We start from the raw sequence: 25,993 nt of genomic DNA on the forward strand, positions 1-25,993 counted from the left end.
ACATTTACTTGGCTTAATTTTAATATATTTTAATTTGGTTGGGGGGGGGCAAGAGAAGGAGGATTTATTCTTGCCTTCACCACCTTGTATTAAATGTCCACCAGTGGAAAAGGCAAAAGTGGTGGAGATTCAAGGCTGCTAATTCTGACCATTGTGATGCTAACGATGAATGGAGGAGTGACTGGCGCCCCACCATTCAGTCTACCAGCCTTTGGCATTACAAATGAACAACATGAATTGAGGGGAAAAAAGTTTTTCTGCGTCATATCTGAAAGCCTGTCAGTTTTTTTTTCTTTTGCAGAGTTAATCCAAACCTAAAAGATTTAAAGCCGACATTCGCATTAAAGACAGAGAGTCTCTTTGTATTTTTTGGATGAAGAGGGGGGGAAAAATAAAATCCCACAGAGGTATTTCCTTCCTTTCTGTATAAGAAAGCTCCCCCTCACTCTGAAGAAACCAGTTTTGTCTCTAACTTTTCACATTTCCCCACTCACAGGCAGGTCAGCTGGGAAAAGGCGAAGGGATCCTGAGACAATGGTGGATTGCTCCGAACAGGAGCAGCCTGTTCGGGCCGAGCTCCGGTTCCCTCCGAGAGCGGTTTGCAAATTTCTCCTAATGTGGGAGACTGGTGCACCAGGCCAAGTGGCCCCCACTGCCCCTTCTCAAGGCACTGTGAAACCAAATGGAATTTGCCACGAAAGTGGCTCCCGGGGGCCTTGAGAAGGGATCAGCTGAGGAAGCTGCAAAGCTGGTAACAGGAGGGCACAGGCCGTGTGTGGCGAACAAGCAACTGCTTGTCTCTGCAGAGTGATGCCGGCTCAAAATCGAACCACTGGGGCTTCAAAAATAAACCAACGCTGCCTGAAAACACAACTTGCAGAAGAGGAATTGTTCTGAAATTTCTATGTGAACTTTCAGGGAACAAACCTTTGAGAAAATACGAGTTTATGTGCATTTGGCCAAGTCAGGGGGCATGACCGATAAGAGGGGTTTACCTTCTGACCCACAACGGCATGATCTGTTAGCACCTACGTTCCCACGCCAGACAGAAACCCTTCTTCACCTTCAATGTGCCCATGTTCAGTCTCATAGGAGAGAGAATTCAAGTGTGCCACCTGCCTACAAACTAACGGCATGGTTCTTCAGTCTACCTCTATGTGTTTACACTATTAATATCAGAGTGGCATGCTGTGACTCTTACTCATGGAAATGTATAGACATCTAAAACAGAAGGCCCTTTGCAGAACTCTAAGACTGTCTCCATGGACCCCAGTTGGAGCAGGTCTGGTGATAGGCCTGGAAGTGGTCCTGGCACGGCCCTTCCCAGCTAATCAGACACTCGGGAAGAAACTTCTCAGTCTCAGTTTCCTCAGCTGTACAGTGGATTGTAGGAATTAAACTCAATAATGTTTGTAAAGTGGCTGCATAACATTGATTATTAACAAACTTTCTTCATTTCAATTGTCAAATTTCTTTAAATGCTCTTGTCTCTGGTTCTTTCCAGTGATCTGTCCCATGAGCTTCATGGAAGCAAATTTTTATGACAATATCAAATTAACTGTAAATCAATTTATAAATTTTATGATGTTCATCTCAATAATATCACAGCACACGCTTGTCTTATCTGCTATTTTTAAAACGCAATGATGAAACATAGGCCAAAGTAAGAGATCCCTAATAAAGTGCCATTCATCTCAATTTGCCAATTTAGAAAATGGAGAAAAATAATTTTGTCATAGAAATTATTGACTACACCGGCATAATATATTAATTTTGGAAGGGAAAATTATTTGGAAAATAGTGCTTCAAAACATTTTTTTGGAGGGGAGTGCAGTAAGAGAAATGAATAACTTCCAGAGTAGTTGCGTTAACGCTGGGAACAACAACAAAAAACCAAGAAGTGATTATTTATTAAGTGTCTGGACAAAGCTTTATATAAAAGGCTTCCAAAGCTTAAAAACAGTGAAAAAAAACTATGAAAGGATGCTTTAAAGAACTGATTTACGAAAACGTAGAACTTCCACGTGTTCAAAGAAACATAACTAAAAAAGTAAACAATAAAAAACTGGGAGAATGACTACTACAAATACATGAAATTCTGGGTTAATATCTGACCAGAAAAATAGCCCATTTATCTTCATAAGAATAGCTGCAATCTCAAGAGATAGGCAAGAGACCTGGAAAGGTATTCATAAAAGCAGCAGCAAGTAATTAACAACATGGAAAAGTGTTAAGTCACTCTGCAGTCTTAGAGAACACTGACAAATTAGATCAGATTTTAAAAATTCACCATCAGTTTGGTGGAGTGAGAGGTGTATGGTGGAATAGGTATTTGTAGCAATTTATATTCCCACCAGCAATGAACTAGCCTTTGGAAAAGGTATTTGGCAATGTGCACCAACACCACAAACATTTATTCCTTTTAATTCGATAATTCAATTTCTGAACTATGTGTTAAAATGAAGTCCAGCTTTTGCTTATCAGTATCTCATGAAACTGTCCTGTGGTTGCTAGTCCTGAAAGCATCCCCTGAAAAGGGCCCATGGCCAGAGATTTAGTAAAGGTGAAAAGAAACCATGGCAGCATCCTCTTGGAGAGTCACAGCGCAGAGCAGCGTAAGGCTTCAAGAAGTCAGAGTAAAGCACCCTACTGAATAGTTTTTTAAACCCAGGTTTCCTAAAGGTATTGATTGATTATGGAACACTTTCCCCTACATCCTTCTTACAAACATCCCACACAACTAATTTTGGGGAATGCAAATATTCGTTGTGGGTTGTTATAAATAACAAAATACTAGTTAAAGCTAACAGGGCACTATGTGGCTCATTAGGCAAATGTGCATCCCTCGGTCTGAATGTTATCCAAGCTGTGAAGATGCTGTTCACAGATTGTAATTATCAGAAGACTGATAGTTTAGAAGAGTCCTGGAGGGAAACGTAAACTACCCTGGTATTCTCCCAGGAGCCTTCTGTTAGCATACAAACACCCTCCCTGGAAGGGTTTGCAGTTTGTATCATCATTCATATGGAAATCAGCCACTAATCACCTGTGGCTTAGATTTCTCACCTGAACTTGAAGCACAGGCTAGACTACTGAGCTCCTAACTTGTGGGTCGCACAGGCACCTCAAACCTCACACATCCCACACTGAACACACACTGTCTTCCCTCCAAAGGCTGCTCTTCCTTGGTACAAGCTATTCAGGGAATGGCATCATCCCTGGCTGCCCAAGACAGAAACCTGGGCCCTATTCCTGAATTGGCTTTTTACCCTGTGTCCAATATTTCACCAGGTTCTGTTGTGCTTTAGCATCTTCACATTTATCCATCTCTGGCCAACTTTGCTTATCCCAGTCCAAATAATTTGCCTGTCCTCCTAGCTGTACTGACTTCAGAAATACTCTGCTTCTAGCTGTTCACACTGCAGCCTGAGAGATATTTCCAAAAGGCAAATTCGATGTTAGCAGTTCCTGGATTAAACCCTTTCTGTGGCTTCAGAATGTCCTCAGAATAGAATACAAAATCTTTAATACAATTTCAAGACCTTTCCTATCTGACTTCTGATTGCTTTCCCAGTATCATCTCTCAAGCCAGGCCCATCTCTTGCTACACATAACATGTTTTGATGCCTGGAAAGCGCCCATGCTCACTCTTGTCCTCAGGCCTTTGCACCTGTGATGCCTACTCGTCCTTCAATTTTCCTTTCTTAGACTCAGAGGACACTACTTGGGCTTCCGTTATGTTGGCACCTATCACCCATTTTCTAGTTGCTCATTCATCCTCTTGTTAGACTATATACTCTCTTAATTCTCATGATCCAAGTGCTTAACCACCAAGCAGATGTTCAATAAATAATTGCTGGATAAATATGTTCTCACAACCTAGTGTTGTAGAAACTATGAAAAACAGAGCCTGGGGACCCTGTTCTTGAGATGTGGTGGTTATGGTTTGCTTGGTTTTCTTGTGCTCTGACATGGAGTTATTCTAGGGAGAGTTATTGCCAGATAATTACGTATTTTGGGGAGAGGAGTTGATTCAGCTCCATGACTATCCTTTTCCAATGTAGGCTGCCTTTTCTGTTGAAGGTTGACGAGTGTGCATTAAAAGCTAAATATGTTAAACTATCCCCAGCTCCCAGTCTGAATCATCAGAAGTATTTCAATGAATCCAAGAAAGGTATGATACCTGGAAATAAAAGTGTTTTGTTTTTTTTTTTGTGGTTGTGGGGAGGTGAGGAAGAGCTGTAGAATAGGCAGGAAGAGAAGGAAGTACCAGCATTAACAAAGATTTTAATTAACTACACAGTATGAACACTTTGCTAAGTTAAAGAAAAAGAAGCAGAATATAAAATTCCAGTCTTCCTCCTCTAGGCAAATACAAACTTTATCCTTCTGGCTGCCCTGGCCAAAATCCTCAAGTCATCTTTGTTTCCCCTTTTCTTTGAAACTGTGCATTCAATTTACTGGCAAATCTTATTGGCTTGACTTAAAAAAATCCATACACCAATGTTCACAGCAGTACTGTTCACTATAGCCAAAGGGTGGAAACAACATCAACAGATGAGTGGACAAGGAAAATGTGGCATATCCATACAATGGAATATCATTCAGCTTTCAAAGACATGAAATTCTGGCCCACGTTACAACATGGATGAACCCTGAATACATTTTGCCAAATAAAACAAACCAGACATAAAAGGACAAATGTGTGATTCTACTTAGATGCAGTGCCTGGAATAGTCAAATTCAGAAACAGCAAGCCCAATGGTGACTGCTAGGGGTTAGGGGAAAAGGAGAATGGGGATTGTTTAACAGGTATGAGGTTTCAGTAGGGAAAGATGAAAAAGTTCTAGAGATGGACAGTGGTGATGGTTGCACAATAATGTGAATACGCTTAATGCCATTGAATTTACACTTAAAATGATAAATACATTATGTATATTCTACCATAACAAAAACATTTAAATGAAAAAGAAAAAAAAAAGATTCTTAGAGCAAATCCTCTCCCCACCCCAAATCCAGAATCTACCCACTTCACGCCCTTCCACGTTTGCCTAGGCCCCCATCATCTTCTGTCTGGAGTGCTACAACAGCCTGCTAGGGGTCCCCTGGCCTCCTGCCTGTTCCCTGTACATACTATTCTTAACAGAGCCCCCAGAGCAGTCCTTTTAGAAGTCAGATCGTGACTCCTTGGCTCAACCCTCCAGAGACTTGGAGAAAAATCGAGAGTCTTTACAATTGTCTCATGGCCCTGGGTGTTCTGCCCCAGCCCTGTCTCCGAAGGCCAGCTCGCTAGTGCCTTTTTTTTTTTTCTCCAACTTTTAAGTTTAGGAGTACACGTGCAGGTTTGTTACATAGGTAAACTTGTGTCATGGGGGTTTGACATGCAGATTATTTCCTCACCCAGGTATTGAGCTTAGATATTTTCCCTGATCCTCTCTCTTCTCCCACCTTCCACCCTCCGGTGGGCCCCAGTGTGTGTTGCTCCCCTCTACGTGTCCATGTGTTGTCATCATTTAGCTCCCGCTTATAAGTGAGAACATGTGGTATTTAGTTTTCTGTTCCTGCATTAGTTTGTTAGGAATAATAGTGCTTTTACTAGTCACCCCCTCCCTCATTCAGCTTCCACCACCCTGCAGTCTTCAGGCTCTCAGCATTTGTCTATTTCCATCTGGAATTTTCTTCCAGATAGCCACAGGTCCTGGTCACAACACTTCAGGTACAGTGAGGCCTTGTGTGACCACCCCATTGAAAACAGCACCCCACCCCACCCCATCCTCTCCCCTGCACTCAAGTCCTCCAGAGCATTTAACACAGTCCAGCCTGCTGTATAATAGACTTATGTTTGTATGTTTTTCTTCTCTAGATTATAACCTCCCAAAGGCAGAGATTTTCTTTCATGGTTGTATTCCCAGAAACTAGAATAGCGCTTTGACATATATTTGTTGAAATATATTATTGATTTAACGACTAAGTTACTAAGTTATTGAAAAATTTTTATTATAAAATTTAAAGAGGAAAAAACTTTAATTTTTACTGATATGAGAAGCACTCAAAATAGTATAATAATGCCTCTATTTTCAGTCAGACTCTAATCTCTTTCTCTGCATTTATAATTATTTTCCTAGACTAGATTACAATCAAGAGGAGAAGGTGTATTTTTTTTTGTTCCCCCAAATGGCTCACAAATTGGGAAGAACTTACAATTTAATGATCCTTCTATTCAGAGAATGGTATGTTTATTTATTCAACTTTTAAAATATTTCTCTCATTTTTGTCAAATTTTCTAGTTTTTCTCCTACTAACCATTCACATAACTGGTAAGGTTTCTTCTTGTTGCTGTGAATGGAATCTTTCATTTTTCTTTGTGTAAAAAGGCTATTTTATCTTTAAAGATTTAGGCCCTTTCCAAGGGAGTTAACAAGTTAGAGAAAACTCCAAAAGTGGCAAATCCATTATGTATTTCCTAGGATTTTGCCAAATCCAAGAAGTCAATGGTTCTTTCTGGCTCTGACCCCTCTGAAACATCCTGGTAGCATAACTCTTCAGAGATGATTTGTACCATGATCCCCCGAAACATATACACCTCTCACATTTCTCTTTTTAAAACCTATCTGCCATGGTCTGAGGTCATTTAGTTTCTCTTGTCTCCTCCTAGGTCTCAGTTAACTCTTTTGGTCTTCTCAGGAAGCATCTTCTTCGTGAAATCATCATCAATAAAAATCTTCAATGCTTAGCTTCAAGTTTGCAGGTATTGTTTCTTTTCATGCAAGTTTTCTTGATCTTTCCAACCGCATTGTGGCTCTTTCCTCCTTGCTATACCGCAGTGCTTTGTCTATGCTCTATTAGCGAGGTATCTCTTCGGAGAAGGTGCATTTTGTGTTGCTGTATTCCCATTTCAGTCTCATCTCACCCAATCTCAGTTACCCATAATAGGCTCTTTTCTCCTCCACTTCCTTTTCTCAGTCACCCAATCTCAGTGGACTGGAAGATCTTATTCATGAAACCTGAGACTCCAGGGTTACTCTAGAGTACCCCGAAAACTGGAGAAATCCACAACTTTAACATCTATATTTTTACAGCAAAGATACTCTAGAGTATCTTAAAAGCTAAAATCCACAATATTAATATCTATATTTTTATGGCAAGGTAGAAATATATCAGTAGAATGCTAGAGTCCTCTCTGCTGGCAATGCTACCACTGATGTATGGGAACTTCACATCGACTATCAAAATCAACTCTGCTTTCAGACACTGAAAAGTGTCATTAGAATCTGAACTTGCAAACACTTCTGAAAGTGTCTTTGTGTTCCAGGCTGGTGAAATACCATGGTGGGACACTGCAGAGGTCATAAAGTTGTTGGACTCTTTCTCAGAGGCCCGAGCCTTCCAGTCTGAATTCATTATGGTAGTTGGGCATGGGGTTGAACTGGGTGGTACGCAAGCATCCCTGGATGAGCAGTAAGTGGTGAATTTGCCACCTTGTACTTTAACCAGAGACAAATTCTAAGTTCATATGAACCTTGGCATGAAGAGAAGTCCCACTGAATCCTTCAGTAGCTGCACATCTTGGGTAGTCTGGCTCAACACTTCCCTCTGAGAAAGCCTACAGACAAAGGAGTGCAAATGCCAAATTCTCTGTTCTGGGCCTTATCATTAAGAACTAACTTTACTGTCTTTCATTTTAGCTGAAAAAAATTCTTGCAAATTTCAATTATATGGTATATATATTCACATCAAAATATAATTATCTTCATGACTTCCTAGTTTATCAATAGCATTTATCACTTCCTCTGACTCAAATCTTTATTCTATGGCTTCTGGTACTCTCTGGAATACTGTATATTCTGTAATGAAAAGATGTCTGCCATGACTTACAGTAATGATGTTAATGACATTCAGGTAACTTTTTGTGACCTGGTCTTTGCTCAACTTTCTGGTTCTAGCTCCAATCATTTTCTGCCTTGGTAACACCACACTTGCTCCTTGCTTGGGCTGTTCTGTACCTGGAAAACTCTTTTCACACCCACCTTCCTGGACAGCTTGGGGAACAGTAGTACCAAGACACTTTTCCAAACAACAGCTTGGGCGTCCAGCGCTCTCTTCTCTGTTAGTCCCTGTGCATTATGAGCATAACAGCTAGCGTCTTACATCCTAATTGTCTGTGGGACTACTCCATGACAAACTAGCTCTTCAGAATGGACTCTTTTTGAAACTTTTGATCCACTGAACCCGGTATAGGTCCTGAGACATAGGCACTCCATAAATCTCAGTTTAATTGAACTGAATTGGGCTCTTACATGGGATGGTTACTTTCTCCACGAAACTAGACAGGGCAGAACACCCAGAAAATAACTAAAGGGTGTTTCAGATAAACCCCAATATGTTTACAATTATTCTCAGCAGCTTTTGATTACTCAGAGACAAAGAAAACTCTTGGCTTGGGTTATCCCAAACAAACAAACAAACAAACAAACAAACACAAATCTTAGAAAATATGCAAATTAGATACCAGCTCACAGCATTTATGTGCTTCTTTCCTTTGGACATTTCTCTGGGGTGATGAGGAGCTGAAAAAGGGGTTATCATCTCGTGGGGGCTAAGAACCAATACTCAATCTAGCCATATGATACAAGAAAGAAACTTTGCATCTCTGTTCTCTGGCAAGAGAGTAATAAAAAAAAAAAACGATTAAAAAAGGTGTTTAGAGGGAAAGGAGGAAGAGCTAGTTGGGACCTGGATAAACTAGAAGTTAATTTTTATAAAAAATTTTTTGACTATATATCAATGCATACTGAGAACTAAACATGCAAAAGAAAATAGTCTTTCTAAAAAGGCATCAAGAGCACTAGAAAATGTGCAGTTCTGAAACTATTCTCTAGGAATATAGTTCCCAGAATAGTGAAGATAATTAAAAACATAATTCGTTTTATTTTAATCTTCATTATTGTCCTATTTAAAAACTTAAAAGTCGCAGAAAAATGAGGACAGTATTAGTAAAAAAAATTTTTTTCATTAAGAGAAACAAAATTTTAAAATACTATGATGTTATTAAGTAAGTTGTATGAGACAGGGTATGATATCTCAGTGTTCAATATATTTACTTGTTACACCATTCTTACAGATTTTTATAATTTTGTGATGGTTCTGCATTTTACCTTTTTAAAAAAATCTTTAAAAAGCCATCTCATAAAGCATCAGTTGTTTGATTACAAATCAGTCTGTAAAACACAATAACCTGCATTTCAAGACTGTAGAAAATGATTTTTAAATACCTCAAAACTTCAAAAAGCACTTAGCTAAAGAAAAACAGCTGTTATATGGCTTACATAGAAAAACTGACTTACATGGCTGAGACTTTTAGTTGCCCTTCATTCTATCAAATCTATCTCCTTTCTCTATCTTCTTTAGATGCAATCACTTTGGTCCTTGGCTGGACACCTTTTCCTCCAGCTCAAAGGCTACATCCCTCTGGCTCTCTTGTTGCAGCTACTTTGGCTATATGATTAGCTTTTGGTCAATGAGATCTAAGTAGAAACGTATTGGTAATGTCTAAGAAGGAGCCTCAAATAGAAAGGGTTACTCCTTCTTCCCTCTCTTGCTAGCTGGAAGGTTGGTAAAATGGCTAGAGCTCAGACAGCCATTCTAGACTGAGGAAGTACACTAAGGTTGGCAGTACAGTAAGTTAAAGGCAACCTAGTCTCTGACGACTGTGCAGATTCCATACCAGTCCTGGACTGCCTGTCTCCCAATTGACTTCTATTACATGGAAGATAAATACGTTTTTATCTTGTTTAATCCAGTTACTTTTTTAAATGCTGAAAAATATGCCATAAAGTAACTTGCTTTGGATGATGCATGCTAGGGAGCTTAAGTGACAACTTTGAACAAAGCAGCTTAACACCAGTCATTGACGAGCCCTTTACCTTACCATATGATGGAATGCAAGAATTATGTCCAGTTGGCTGGGCGTGGTGGCTCACGCCTGTAATCCCAGCACTTTGGGAGGCCAAGATGGGTGGATCACCTGAGGTCAGGAGTTCGAGACCAGCCTGGCCAACACGGCAAAAACCCATCTCTACTAAAAATACAAAAATTGGCTGGGCGTGGTGGCGGGCACCTGTAATCCCAGCTACTCAGGAGGCTGAGGCAGGACAATAGCTTGAACCCAGGAAGTGGAGGTTGCAGTGAGCTGAGATCACGCCATTGTACTCCAGCCTGGGGGACAAGAGCGAGACTTCATCTCAAAAAAAAAAAAAAAAAAAAAAACAAAAAAAAAAAAACAAACTATCTCCAGTTATGAGCTTTATTGAAACAGATGGCACAACGACTTTCATACTTTCTTTCATGAGTATTTCTGGCCTGTCATTCAAACAAAAACTGTGGTGGTTCCCACACTAGAATGCTGGGCCTGGAGGGCAGAGAGGCAGTCCGCCCTCTGCCCACCTCACTGACCCCACCTCACAGTGCTCTCTCCAGCTCTCTCTGCTGCAGTCACGGGCCTTGTGTTTGGATGGAAAATCCCGTTGCCACCTTGGAGAATGGGCACCTGCTACTCCTTGAGCGTGAAATGCTCTTCTTCATATGACAGGTATTCATTCCTGCATCATGTGAGTTTCAGCTTAACCGTCCCAACTTCAGAAAGACCTTCCTGGAACACCCATTATAATCCTGTCCCCTATCATATCTGTTCTGTGTTCCTCCCGTCACTTATCACTTTGTCAAATTATCTTTACTTATTCTTCATTTAGTCATTTGTTAACTGGTTTAGTACCTGTTTCTCCTTCCCATTCCCTGGCCCCCTCAATTAGGCAATGGGGATCCTGCCCAATTAACTTGGTATTGAGGAACAGTGCCTGGCACCAATTAAGTCCTCAACACATATTTATGGAATGAATGAATGCGACAATGAATTGACTCTAGGGCTGAATAGTTAAAGCTGTGCCGTACCAGGAGCAGGCTTCGTTCAGCTTTCATACGTTGCTCATCACTGTAGCATACGGGTACACCATGGCCTCTCTCTCGTTTATGACATCAATGCCCCACCATTAAACAAAGGGATCCTTGAGGACAAGGCCAATTCCATTCATCCTTGCATCCTCCAGTGCCTAACACAGGCCCTGGCACACATTAGACGCTCGATCTACACTTGCCGTATATTGCAGGCAAAGGTGCTGTGGTTACAAAACACAATGCTGGTTCTCGTAATGGCTCTAAGGAGAGCTCTCACTGTAAAGTGTATGCAGATGTTCAGAGGTCCTGATTCACGATTACGTTTGTCATACCCATGTCTCCCTTTTCCTCTCAGCATTTCCATATATACTTCTCTTTACAAAATGGGCTTGGAAGTGGCTCTTGGCCAGCTGCCTTTAGAACAGTGAATGAAGGTCTACCTGTTTCATTTACTGTTGGGGGCATGAGGACTGTGACCAATGGCAGGTTTTACTGGATGGACTCACAGTCATTGGCTCATTGAAGAACATCTGACAGAATTTTGCATAGTTGTTCCCTCCAGGCTACTTGGCTAAACACAGTAATCTCAGATGAAACTCCATCATATCATAACACTGCCCCACCTCAGCAACAAGGGTTGGTCTTAAGACCAATAAATTACCACATGCTACGGAGGTAATTAAAAGCTGATAGATCAATAAAGACTCTTTTAACCAGGAAATTCCTCATATGAAAAGTAATTTATTATGTTGGATAAAATAGGCAACAGCACAATTTAGGAAAATCATATCACTAATGTAGTTTATTAATACCTTTCCTACAGGGCTGACACCAAAGGGTTCAACAAAGATTTTTATTGTTTTTCAGAAAGCCTTTACAAACCTCAATCAAGAGATCTGAAATTCTGTAAAACACATGCTCGTTCCTTAACTTCAATTTCCTTCAGTAGTTTTATAGATCCCTTAGGCCAGGGAGAGCAGAAACAGATGGTGCTCGGGAGGACTTTACAGTGCCTGTCTGCAATGCCACAATAAATTTAAAGGTTTTGCTGATACTAAGCTTCTGTTATTAATCCTGATATGAAACGATCCCTGCTGTAGCTGGTTTTTTATTTTTTAATCTGGTTTATTAATCATTGGCTAAACTATTTTCTCCTAGAAATTCAAAAAATACTCAGTAACATCATTTAGACGAGTCGGAAAAGCAGGCCAACATATGTTTATATAACATAGCACTTTTCCCCAGGGCCTACCTTGCCCCATAAATTGTTGTACTGGTGTGAAAAAATACAAGTCAGGTCTGAAAAAAAGTTCTCCTCTTAAATCACAACCATATTTGTGAGAGGAGAGGAAGACAGCAACTTATTTAAAGCGACAGCCAAGTTCGTCACACTAGTTTCTTTTTCCTTTCCTAAATGATTTCTTATTGTTGCATTTTCCAATTGTCTACCTTACCCCCACTGCCCCTAACCCCCGATATCGTAATTCCTTTTGAACAGTTAAATATTTCAATAATTTATGGTTGTGGGACACTTGTTAATCATTATCATTTGAATCATTATCATGGGTAGAGATGTCGAATTACTGTAGTGGAAACAAAGTGCAAAACTATAGGTGGGAATGTTTTCCAAATGAGAACACCCTGCCCACCAACTGAGAACAACCAACTCTCGGCTGGGTCTACAGTAACCAAGTCTGCACTAAACTCTGAGATATTTGAGGAATAGCTTTCTGGTCACTTCAGGCATGCAGAATGAGCGGAAGCAAAAGGGGAAAAGCTATCTGATGCCCTGAAAAGAACTTCTGGGCAGAGACAAAGGCAGCTAAGGACAGCTGAAGATGGAAATAGTATATGCACATCATGACTGGTCAGTTCATCAACCAGATGGAACTAAGTACTTCGATGGGTGGCACTGATGCTAGAAGGGCATTAAATTAAAGTTGATAAGTCTGGGAGAAAAGCCACAGGGAAGGGGAAAGAAAAGATGAGAGAAGAAATGGAAAAGGAACAGACAGGAGTGTGCACGGTGCATCAGGGGACAGAATCAGGCTGGGTTCACACTGTAGTTCAGATACTCTGGAGCTGTTTGACCTTCAGAAAGTGTGTCTTCACTTTGTGTCTGTGAAATGTCTAAAAGGATTTACCTTACAGTGTGGCTGTGAACATTAAATGAGTGACTACATGAAAAGTGCCTCTAACAGTGACTGGCCCTTCATCAATGGGGCCCTATTATAGCTGAGTGGCAACCATTCGTTTTCTGATGATGTAGGATGACTGGGTTTTCTATTTAATAGTTTTTTTAAATTTTTTTTAACAAAATGGGTATTATTTATGCTAATATTGCTGTTAAGAAGAGGCAAGAGGCTAGGATATGAAGTGAGATGGAATTTCTCTAAATAGGGTTGAGGGAGTCAGGTGGGTGTTGAGAAGGGGGAATTATAACTCTGGGCACTTTTTTAAAGAGATGGGAGCACTTTCATATCTGGCTAGCTTATAGAAATTGTTCAGGGCCCTGGGAAAAGCGGGGAAATGGCAGATGGACTGAATGCAAGGAGGATGGCTACAAGACAAAAAGAGTTATCACCTGAGAGTACGGAACAGCAATGGGCCCCAAAAAGAAGGTACTGAATTCCTCAGGATGCTAGCAGAAACCAATGGGATTGAAAAGAATGACCTGGGTTAAATTCTCTGGGTCACTGGCTATTTCTTTGCTTACTACACAGATTTGGAACATGAGTTTAGCGAAAACAAGGAGTATCTGGCATTAAACATAGCGCCTGGAGAACTCAGTAGGTACACAATAAATGTTGGTTCCCTTCCCTCCCCAACTTAGGGAGCAAGGATTTTCTTTCAACACATTGAGAGAAATGGCTCTGTCTTTGCTGCAAAGATGACCCAAGAATGTAAGTTGGAAATGACTATAAAGTCCTGATTGTGTGAATCTGCATGAAGCTGAATATAGAAGCATGAGACCTGTACCTGTAAGTTGCTGAATTTGTATAATTTGCACCCCGAGATCCTGTTAACTAGAGCAAAATATCTGTGCCCTTTTAAGATAGTTCTCTGAAGTGGACGCAGTAAAGAGAGGCATACAAGAGAAACTCTTAGGAATTGGAAGACAAACTCAGAGGCATAGAATGTAGTGCTGCTTAAGTATCACAGTGGCTGGGAGCTCATCTGCCTGGCCTGGGAAGGATTAGTTAAATGAGACCAGCATCCTGTTCTGCTGCTGAAAATCTTCATGTGTTGGAAATCACAAGATGTTGGAAAGATGTACTTATGTGAGCTGAAAGCTGCTTCTCTATAACCTCTATTTCACTGTTTCTCATTTGTTTGTCTAAAACACGGAAGCAAGCAAAAAATGTTATTTGCCAATCACTTAACACTCATTTATGGGGCACTAGGGGCCCCGCACCATTAGGTCTGAGTGAATGAGGAAAGAAATGAAGATACAGTCATCGCTCGAGAAGCAGTTTAAGCATTCTGAAATGGTTACTGTGGCACTGATGTGGAAGAAGGACTGAGGAAGAACAAGACCGCTGCAATGTCTATAGAGAGGAAATGGCAGAGAGAAGAACATGGAGGAGGTAGTGCTGCCAGTAAAACAGAATACAGAGATTTCCTTTCCTTTACAAATCCCTGAAATACCTGCGAGGACTGAGGGTCCCTTTAGACTTCTAATTTCCAGATCAAATACCATGCATTCCTCTTAGCAACTATTATCAGAGAAGGAGCACAGGGCAACGTTTAAGGTAGCAGACCTGGGGATCAGACATCGAAGTTGAAACCTTATCTCTGCCACTATGAGTCAGATAGTGATGTCAGATAAGGTTCCTAACTTCTCTGTGCCTCAATTTCCACATCTGTAAAGTGGTGATCATGGCAACCCATTTGGTGTGAGGATCATGTGAGTTACCGACAAGCACTCTCTCCTGATGTTCATGGCAAACACAACGGAGTCTGCCCTGACTTCTCCTCTGTCTCCTCACATCCAACCTGTCCATCAATCCTATTGGCTCTGCCCTCAAACTGTATTCAGAATCCAACCACTTCTTACCACTGCTGCCCTCCGGGCCCCACACACCATGATCTCTCACCTGTTTTACTGGAATAGCCTCCTAAGCGGCTTGCAATACAACAGTCAGAGTCCTACAGCGAAAATATAAATCAGGTCATGACACTTCCCTCTCAAGCTCCTCCAGTTTTTTTTTTTTTTTTTTTTTAATCTGACTATGAGTAAATGCCACAAGGCTTTATGGGAAACACAACTGAAAATATGGCTCTTGGTTCCCCTTACCTGCTGTACTTTTCTCTAGGCACTTAAACATTTCCATATTTCATTACTCATTGTATTTATGGTCTGCCCCCTTGCACTAGAAAAGTGAGCTATGGGAGGGCATGGGTTTCTGTCTGTTTCATTCAGGACTGAATCCACAGTGCCTAGAATAGCGTCAGACACACAGAAGAATCTCAATAGCTGTTGGATTGATTGATTGAAAAAAAATATATATATAGTCCTTACAGAACTACCTGGGATAAAGTAAGCGTTCAATATTCATGAGGTATTATTGGTGTTATTCTTCCCAGATCTTGGTTGCCTTTTTATAGAGCTCCTCTATTCAGTCAACGTCCCTTTAGAACCACACAGTGTCTCACTCTCCAAAATACCTCCTGAACCAGCACAGAGCAGAACAGGGCTGCTATTCTCTGTCTGCTCCACCTCTACAAGGTACCATCCTGGAGACCCTTATTAAGCTTTTGGGCAACCAAAACACACTTACGTACATAATTAATTATTTAGTGTGGAAGGAATTGCTGCCAAATCAACACAGGAAAGGACTGGGATCCTGGGGATATGATCTTTGGATTAGATACTTATGACCCTGTTAGTGGTGGTGACAGAAATTACCTACACCCTGCATCAGGAATCCTGCAGAACGGCCTCAAGTTCTCGGGGCTGCTCTGGGCCGTGTTTCATTACGTGGATATCATAAACATGTCAAGGCAGCAGATGCTAACATTTAACTTATGCTGGCATTACTTACAATATATTACTATATGCAATAGATAATATATGTAATGTACAATATATTACAATAATATATTGCTATGAAAGTTAACAGTTGAATAAGCTTTAAGACAGTTGGCCAATTATGTATATGCCTACAGATATAAATATTGGCACATACATGAATCTTTCACATTTATATATGTATGTATATATATGTATATATTTGGCTATATTCTTGATTGAGATAAGAATTTTAAGATTAGAAAAATATAGACCTAAGAGTAGTCACTACTTGTTGAAATTAACTGAGTTGTAATGTAACATAACTAGTGACCCTATATCTATAATAAAAATGTTAGAAATTGAATACAGCTACAACATTTTTTGGGACTTATTAGCCTAATGCCCAAGAAACAGTAAATGGAGATGATTTACCTCGGAGAATCTGAGTGGCATTCTCACTATATCCTTATATTGGCATTATTGTGAGGCTCATTTACACGCACACACACCCACATCCCACCACACCCACATCCATACCCACACCAAAATGCTTTGGGAGCACTAAAGTGCTACATAAACTTAAAGTATTCTTCTTTTGTTTGAATAAACAGACATTTTGGACGTGCTAGTCAAGCCTACCCTACAGCTGAATTAATCCATTTTCATATTTTCAGTGGAGCACCAGCTATTTAAACACTATATTCAGAGTAGCAGTAGTAATAAAACAACAAGAAAAGAACCTCTGTTAGCATTCCCACTGTATCTGAAGTGAACAGAAATGTGATGGAGTACTGACATTCATTTCACTTTGAATTAAACACAGCATCACCATGAGTCTCAAGAGACGATATTAAGTTTTGTGTTTGGGTAATACTGGGAATTCTACAGGCAAGGGTAGAATTATATTTGGTGGGCAAAAAGCCAGTCAAACTTCACACTTGTCCTAGAAGTAGGTGGTCAAAACCTCAGTTCTTGTCATCAAACCTATTGGCCACACTTGCTTAAACCATCTGGGTCTCAAATCTTTTGTGTTATTCATTTTGAAAATAAAATAAACATTAAGAAATGAGATAAAGGAAGGCAAAGACTTATGTCTAATGAAAAAGATATCAAGTTAAAATCGACCTAAGGGAAAGGCAGGTCCAATGAGACAGAGCACATCAGATAAAAACAAAGAATAGAATTAAATTTTCCAAATGTCATAATCAGATACATACACATGCACATACTTTTTTTCCTTCAGTTGTATTCCTTTATTTCAGGAAAAGGACTCAGAAACCAAGGTAAAGAGGAGACCCACTCACGGCATTCTCCCTGTTCTGCTTAGAATACATGCTGTTAAAATTTCTAGTTTTCACAATATATGTTTCAAAAGAAGCCTTCACTTTTTGTAGAAGGAAGTATATACTCCTTGATATGTCTGGTTTTGCTGTAATAGTATATAATGCCTCTCTCTAATAAATTTAACCACAAATTTTTAAAAATGTGTCTGCATTCTGCTAATTTATAAAAAGCAGGATGCTGTCAGATAAAATTTCATGAAAATGATCTATAAACCAGACTGTCAAAAGTGAAAGGTACTCAGGCAGTACTTAGGGGCAACAAATACATGAAAACCACTGGAAAGGGTTCCTGGGACTGCGGTAAAACAATGTACTGTCACGGAGCTCACATTACCTTGATTTGCAAGTTACTGTGAGGTCACAGGAAATCCCAAAATGTTTTCCACATTTACTTTTATACATTTTATGTCAAATTTCCTGCAATTGAAATCATAAACCCTCCTACTGCTGGAATCTCTTCAGAAGGAAAGGAGATCTTTTGACACTCCCCCATGAACACCTAATAACTCAATTCCTACCCGTGTAACAAGAAACTGAAAGACAGAATTGAAAATGGACTATGATAAGGCTGAAATGTCAGATGCCCTAATTCTTTCAAAATGAAAACCAAACTGATGTCATTAGGACAACTCAAAAAGTGCATTTAATCTAGTGACAGCAGATTTTTCTCTGGAATAAGAGATAACAGAAGAAATGATAGACTGTCCCCAGACAGAAACTCACCATTTCCCCAAATCTTTAATCAAAATGTATTTGTGGCTTTATGGTGTAATTTTAAAATGGCATCTTCTATATGGATATTCTTAACGAGATTCAAGCTCCCGACAACCATATTTTATTGTCTTGGTTATGTTTATGAAAAGGTAAGTCAGATTTAAGTAAAATGTTCAAGTTTAAAATATTCTCTCAAGATTAATCACTCGAAACTGTGGAATTTAAAAACAGCTTTTAAATGGTCAAATCCTATTTTAATATAAATCAACAAGATGGAAAATTATGCTAAACGATTAAGGTTTGCTAAAAAATACCAGTTTTTAAGGTTTTGTTGGATTGTGAGTTATTAGCGCACATTACCTCTCCTGACATATCAGGGGCCATCGGAATGGCAGGCCACAGAGATGAGTAGATTCCAAAAAACACCACCCAGAGTGCGATGCTCCCCCATATCGCTATGTGGCTGAACTGTAGAGCAAGGAAATCTGAGTCAAAAAAGTTTTATGTAGACCGAGTACACAAATACTAATGAAACTCTCTCAAATTCCCTTATTAACTTTTTATTATATCCATAAAAATATTATCTATAGGAGTTTCTACCTAATTGTGTGTGTTTTTTAATTGGATCTTTAAGTGCTAATCTCTTCTACAACAGTTGCAATGTTTGTGGTACTGGAATTTCGAACTGTTCCTCCTCTAGCTTTTTTGGTAGTTTTCTCCTCTTACGCTTACCTTTTTTACCCCTGAACATTTGGAAGCCTGCCTTACTCTTGGTCTGCATGCTCTCACCGAAACATGTCAGACCCTTGTGAGAATATTATATGTATGCTGATGGCTGTTAAATCCAAACGCCTTGTGGCAATCTTTCCCAGGGACATGAAACTTTAATGTCTTTTTGTTTCCGGGGTCTCTACTGGACGGGGGTACACCGCAAAACTAACGTATCTAAAATGGAACAAGACTGGGTATTTGTCAATGTCTGAGGACAAATCTTTAATATTTTCAGTCTTCAGAATCACTTTCCAATGGGTTTGCTGCAGAACACCAGTCCAGTGACACCTCTAAGAAAAGACTTGTAATCCGTAAGTTTAAAGTCTCACCACTTCCTGGGATACTCATAATATATGACAATACTTTAAAGGCTCTGAGAAGTCTTGTGGTAATGCACTTGTTTAAGTTTGTTTAACTCAGTATTTCCCAACTAAAACCTCCAGTTCTCCTTCCCCTACCCCTGACACCCCACAATTGAAAACCTGTGGACTAGGACATATTAACCTGGGACATATCAAGTTAGAGTGAAGACCACCACCAAGACTGGAGATAATGCACAAGTAAATGTGACATTTCTTGGTTGTGGTTAGATATTTTCTTACCCATGTCCAATATGATGTCTCCAATCCAGCTTTCAAACACACAGTTATCACCACAAACTAAAACAGAAGGGGAAAATGTTATTTTACCTCATAAACATGAAAGTTCATCAAATGACTGAAGGATTTATAAAGAACAGAGATCTCTGAATGTAACTATGGGACTAGGAGACTGCTGCTTGCTTTGTATATCCAACCAGCAAAGAGACAGGTAAATTAGCTGGGCAGCTGACGGGACTGTGATAGGTCAGAGGTGCCCAGGGCAGCACTGCACTTCCGGCTTCCTTGCCTCTCCCTCACCTGCACAGCCTGACCCTCCATCCACGAGTTCCTCTGTATGTGTTTTCTGCTTTTTGTACAATTCATGAACAGCAACAGCACATGCCTGGGTTAATTTGAGTTTTCAAGCTTACTTTACCTTTATTTTAAATCTCCTTTCATATTAAAAGTCCAACTTTCTGAATTTTAAAGACAAATTTTAATGAATAAAATAACCAGACATTTAGAAATCTAAATGCTTACTCTGGAACTTTACTTAAAACCTTGCTGAGTAGGACATGAGACATTTCTCCATGATATATGCACCCATCGCTGGGGCTTACGCTAGTCATTCTGAAAAAGGAAACTGGGGTTGGATTAATTGCTCTGTGTTTTCCACAGTGTAACATAATTATGAAGTGTACTTGCCATGGAGTCAGACTACCTGTGCCCAAGACGTTATCACTTAGCTATTGTGGTTAATGAACAAAGCAAGTTACTTCACGTCTCTGTGTCTCGACTCCTATACTTGTAAACTGGGACTGATAAAGCTTACCAATCTTACAGAGATTTTTTTTTTCTTTTCTTGAGAGTAAAACTCTAAAATACTCAGAACAGTGATTAACATGGAATATTATTTATTTATAATAATACAATCTTAAATATTGTTAGTCGTCAAGGAAACCCTAGGCACCTTTGATAGTTGTGGTGATGGAAGTGATGTTTGCTAGCACTTGATCAATAAATGCTTGAAGTGCCCAGTTCTACTTTAAGGCACATTAAGGGTTTGCACACAGCATGTGATAAGACACTTCCCAGTGGGGTTGTAAAGTCAGGTTACAGTAAGAACAGTTGAGCTTTCTCAGCAGGATAGCTAATGGCAATTTAGGTTATTTGTTAAAATAAAACTTACTAAATGCAAAAATTAATTTATGTGATCCAAACATTCTAAAAGAAGAGATATAGGCCAGGTGTGGTGGCTCATGCCTTTAATCCCAGCACTTTGGGAGGCTGAGGTGGGTGGATCACCTGAGGTCAGGGGTTTGAGACCAGCCTGGCCAACATGGTGAAACCTTGTCTCTACTAAAAATACAAAAATTAGCTGGGCGTGATGGCACACGCCTGTAATTCCAGCTACTCAGGAGGCTGAGGCAGGAGAATCACATGAACCCATGAGGCAGAGGCTGCAGTGAGCCAAGGTCATGCCACTGCACTCCAGCCTGGGCGACAAGAGTGAAACGCCCTCTCAAAAAAAAAAAAAAAAAAAGAGAAGAGATATAGTTTGAAATAAATTAAAGAAAAATACTCTCCTGAGACCTGGATACTGTAAAGTGTCCCCAGGAGACATCCATGACATACGCTCTGATCTATTTCTACCCACTGCTCTGCTTTCGCATTCATGTCATATGAGAAGGAGCCACCAGCCCCTGCAAACATACTTTTGCTTGTCTTTTACTACTTCGGTGGGTTGATGCCAAGAGAAAGGAGACCCCCCAGATTTGGCAAAACCTCATTCCTTCTGCTACTTAACGGCACTGATTTCCTATCATTCAGTTATTTTATTTCATTATTTGATAAAAATGAAATAAGACCCCATTATAAGCCCTGGGTCTTACTTAATTTTTAAAGGGAACCGTAAACAACCCTTAAATCCAGAAACACTCATATCACGTTTAAATTTAAAAATAAAATGAGGACAGATGAAAGGTTTTGATTTTACACGCAAACGAGACCGACATCCCGCACTCACAGTGTACACAAAGTTTCCCAGTAGCAGATAATCCGAGGTTTTCCCATTTCCAAATGCAGTACCTGTACGAAAAGGAGAGGCCTATTAGAAAGGAAAATGAGATTCTTTCAGAATCTTTTCAAAGATATTCAGAAAGTTTGAACGAAGGAAGGGAAATCAAGGGATACACAATGGAGCCAGAAATGAGATTAAAAAAAAAAACAACCCCAAACACTCTTGAGTGCTAACAAAGCTGCTGTAAAGATAGGCCACAAAAGACAACATTGAAGAAGGAAATCCGACTTGTTAACGAATTTTCAGAGTCCACAAGATTAAAAAAAAAAAATCCAACAAATTGTTCAAACAAAGCAGGAAAGGGCATTCTGGATCGTAATAAAGAACTCTGTTAACAATATGGATGAGAGTCATAGGGAATCTTCTCACTATCTCTCAATAAAGTTGTTGGCATTGGGCCAAAAGGGATTCATAAAAGCAACTCACAGAGGGCCAAGGAACACCAGTATGGTTTCAGGCATGTGGTTCTTTGAGGATCTGGCTGAGTATAGGGGCATATTTTAAAGTATTTTGTTATTTTAGCAATGACTAACAAACGTGGCTTTATTTCTATTTATTTATTTTTTTTAGACGGTCTTACTTTGTCATCCAGGTTGGAGTGCAGTGGCGTGATCTCGGCTCACTGCAACCTCCGCTCCCGGGTTCTAGTAATTATCGTGCCTCAGCCTCCGGAGTAGCTGGGATTATAGGTGTGCGCCCCCATGCCCAGCTAATTTTGTTATTTTTAGTAGAGACGGGGTTTCACCATGTTGACCAGGCTGGTCTCGAACTCCTGGCCTCAAGTGATCTGCTGGCTTTGGCCTCCCAAAGCGCTGGGATTACAAGAGTGAGCCACTGCACCTGGCCGCCTTCAAATGTGGCTTTAGACGAAGGAAGTGGTAGCTGATGCACAAAAATTTCTAGTACTGATAAAATCAAGTGAAAATAAGCAAGAGCTGAATAATTAAATCATTGATACCATTGAAAAATTAAAAATCCACGGTATATATAATACAGTGATGCATGCACATATTCAACGTTTATTCAGAGTCAAATATGTAAGGGCAAACTGTATTAGAATAAAGTATGGGATGAAACACAGAGAGTGGTACTGGTGAGCTTTGGAGACACCGAAGTTTAGTTCTATTACTATTAACAGTTGTGTCATTTTGGGTTATTTATAATCAATCCCTATGGAACTCTGTTTAGCTAAAACGAGTGAAGCTATTTAACCTGAGGGGGTTTTGAAGTGACAATGAAGTTCTGTATGTAAATCACCAAGCAGTATCAGGGCAAGGCATGTTCAGCATTTGAATAATTTGGGTAAATCACTCATTCTCATACTTCCTGGTCTATGGATCTCTTTACACTAAAAAATTATTGAGGGTCTCAAAAAGTTTTTATGTGGTTTATGTCTATCAATATTTACCAAATTAGAAATTAAAACAGAAAATTTAAAATTATGTATTGATTATCATAAATATAAAACCTAACACATGGTAATATAAATGACAGGTTTTCTGAAAAGTATTTTCCAAAGCAAACAAAAAAATAAGTGAGAAAAATGGTATTGTTTGGGTTTTCACAATCTCTTATTTCTGGCTTAATAGAAAGCAGCTGGATTCTCACGTTTTGGTTGAAATATAAAAGGAAATCCAGCTGCACAGTGATATGGAGTTACAAAGAAGAAGACTATTTTAATAATCTTTTCCAATAATTGTGGATAGTCTTTGATACTACATCAAAACTCAACAAGTAGCCTCCCTCCCTCCTTCTCTTTCTTTTCTTTTTTTTTTTTTTGAGATGGAGTCTCACTCTGTTGTCCAGGCTGGAGTGCAGTGATGTGACCTCAGCTCACCGCAACCTCCACCTCCTGGGTTCAAGCAATTCTCCTGCTTCAGCCTCTTGAGTAGTTGGGGTTACAGGCACACGTCACCATGCCCAGCTAATTTTTGTATTTTTGGTAGAGACGGGGTTTCACCAGGTTGGCCAGGCTGGTCTCGAACTCCTGACCTCAAGTGGTCCACCCACCTTGGGCTCCCGAAGTGCTGGGATTACAGGTGTGAGCTACTAAGCCTGGCCAACAAGTAGTTTCTCAAAGTGGTAGAGGTAGTTTCTTAAAGGTTGGTTGCCAGTGTGGAATCTGAAACTATATCAATGAACTTTCTGTACTTTATTGCATTAAAATCCATCAGTCTACTTTGTACTTTGCGTTTTTTTTTTTTTTTTTTTTTTTTTGAGATGGAGTCTTGTTCTGTCGCCCAGGCTGGAGTGCAGTGGCATGATCTTGGCTCACTGCAACCTCCACCTCCTAGGTTCAAGCGATTTTCCTGCCTCAGCCTCCTGAGTAGCTGGGACCACAGGCATGCGCCTCCACACCTGGCTAATTTTTGTATTCTTAGTAGAGACGGAGTTTTGCCATGTTGGCCAGGCTGGTCTCGAACTCCTGACCTCATGTGATCCACCTGCATTGGGCTCCCAAAGTGCTGGGATTACAGGTGTGAGCCACCATGCCCAGCCTACTTTGCACTTTGAATGGATCTTTTACCCATGCATGATTCTGCAGTCTCTGGTTCAATCCAGAAGGCACCATTCCTTGAGACAATCACTGCACTTTGGTATGCAGAACTGCTTTATATGTATGTTAATACTTCCCATTTTGTCAAATACAAAATATTATTAAGATGGTTCAAGTTTTAATAAAAGCATTAGTTTTATGGTGTCTTCATGCACATTCTTAAATGAAACCTAGTGCATGACGGTGAAGAATATAATGACTACTAGCACAGTGGTACCACTGTTTGTGGATGGCAAAAGGGTCTTGGGTATTCCCAGGGTCTACAGACTACTCTTTCAGAACTGCTGAGGCAAAGGAATAGATGAATATGTAGCTATATATTACACAGCATGTGTAAAGTTCTTCAGTATCCCCATCCTTTCAGAAATCAAAAAACAAAAGAACCCTCCCCACTAAAACATTCCTTATTTAAAAATGAAAACAAGGCGAAACAACAACTACAAATCTCTCAACATCAAAACCATAAAGTAGTTTATGCTAAACGTCAATTCACCCCTTAAAAAAAGAAAGCAAATGTTCCCTAGTCTTGGCTAGTTTTGGTCTCTATAAGCAGCACTCCCGTGAACTGCCTTGACTGAAGCTGGAGAGCTGCGCAGCTTTCCAGAGAGACGTAATGATGGATCTAGGAACTGCTTCTCTGGAAGATGAAGTCACTTGGGAATTCCTTTCAAACCCTGTCATTGCTAAGGTGTTTTGGATGCTATCTGGTTTAAGTGACTTTTGATATTCAATTTCTTTTTTTCTAATTTAGAAGGTTGAAATAGCAGTTTAGAAGACGGGCATACCTTATCTTTCAAACCTATATCAATTTTGCATTTTGAAAATAAATTTTACTTGGAGAGCTTGTCTGAGGTCAGGGTATCTTGAATTGTACCCTGGACCTCCATATCCTGTTGCTCCAAAAAGTGGAAACAATCTGAAGGTCCATCAACTGATGAACAGATTAAAAAATGTGGCATATCTATACCATGGAATATTATTCAGCCATAAAAAGGAAGTATTGATTCCAGCTGCAACATGGATGAACCACGGTCACATAATGATTCCATTTATATAAAATGTCTAGAATAGGTAAATCCATAGAGATAAAAAAAATGTAAGTAGTTGCCAGGGTCTGGTAGGGAAGGTGTGGAGAAACAGGGAGTGATTGCCAATGGATATGGGGCTTCTCTATTGGATGATATGAATGTCGGGCATCAGATAGTGGTGACATCTGCATAATTCAGTGAATATACTAAAAAACTACTGAATTGTACACTTTAAAAGAGTTAACTTTTATGGTATGTGAATTATATGTCAAAGCCAAACAAGCAAGCAACAAACTAACTCACTGTAATTCTCCTGGCCTCCAGGGTCAATATTCTACACTTTAATTAAATATTCTTACCATGCTCATTCCACAGCCTAGACATTGAAAAGTATTTACTGTTGTAATTTACTGAGCAATTAAAAAAGGAGATTAAAATCTTAGCTAGAATATGAAACCACTGCCTTCTTTGTAATACTCACCTCGCTTATGCCACAAGCTCTTGGTAATTCATTCACAATTTGCTGAGTGCCTACTACAAGCTACGCACTGTTCTAAGCACTGTGAATGCAACGAAACTACTAATTACCTGCCCATCTGAAGCTTCAATTTTAAAAGAGTTTTGAGAAAGATCATACAAAAGAAACAAACATATCAAAACCTGATTGACAAGTACCATGAAGACATACAGGCTGACAAGGGAATAGAGCCTAGGAGCAGTGGGGGCAGGTGGTGGCTGCTCTTTTGGACAGGATGATCGGGGAAGGCTTCTTGAGCACAGACCTGAGGCATCGGAGGGGAGAGAGCCAATTCGAATATCTGTGAAGAATGGGGAACAATTTGGAGGTGGAGGATTTTGTTCTAAGTATGCTAAATCTTTATGGAATTCTGAGGAGGGAAGCACCTGGCCTGATTCATGTTCTGCAGGGATCACTCTGGCTACCTATGGAGAGGAG

General features: G+C 39.9%; 1 protein-coding gene across 10 annotated transcripts in view; it reads right to left on the reverse strand.

The window, feature by feature from the left end:
- ATP8A1 (ATPase phospholipid transporting 8A1) overlaps positions 1-25,993 on the reverse strand; it is a 248,733-nt gene that overhangs the window by 16,811 nt on the left and 205,929 nt on the right. For all 10 annotated transcript variants that reach the window (NM_001400027.1, NM_001400026.1, XM_047449508.1 and 7 more), the window contains 3 exons: positions 21,400-21,461; positions 19,395-19,451; positions 18,382-18,489 (listed from right to left, as the gene is read on the reverse strand). In NM_001400027.1, coding sequence (NP_001386956.1) covers positions 18,382-18,489; positions 19,395-19,451; positions 21,400-21,461 — 227 coding nt within the window. The remainder of the gene's footprint in view (positions 1-18,381; positions 18,490-19,394; positions 19,452-21,399; positions 21,462-25,993) is intronic.

The sequence above is a fragment of the Homo sapiens genome, chromosome 4, assembly GCF_000001405.40.
Source record: "Homo sapiens chromosome 4, GRCh38.p14 Primary Assembly".
Classification (NCBI taxonomy): domain Eukaryota; kingdom Metazoa; phylum Chordata; class Mammalia; order Primates; family Hominidae; genus Homo; species Homo sapiens.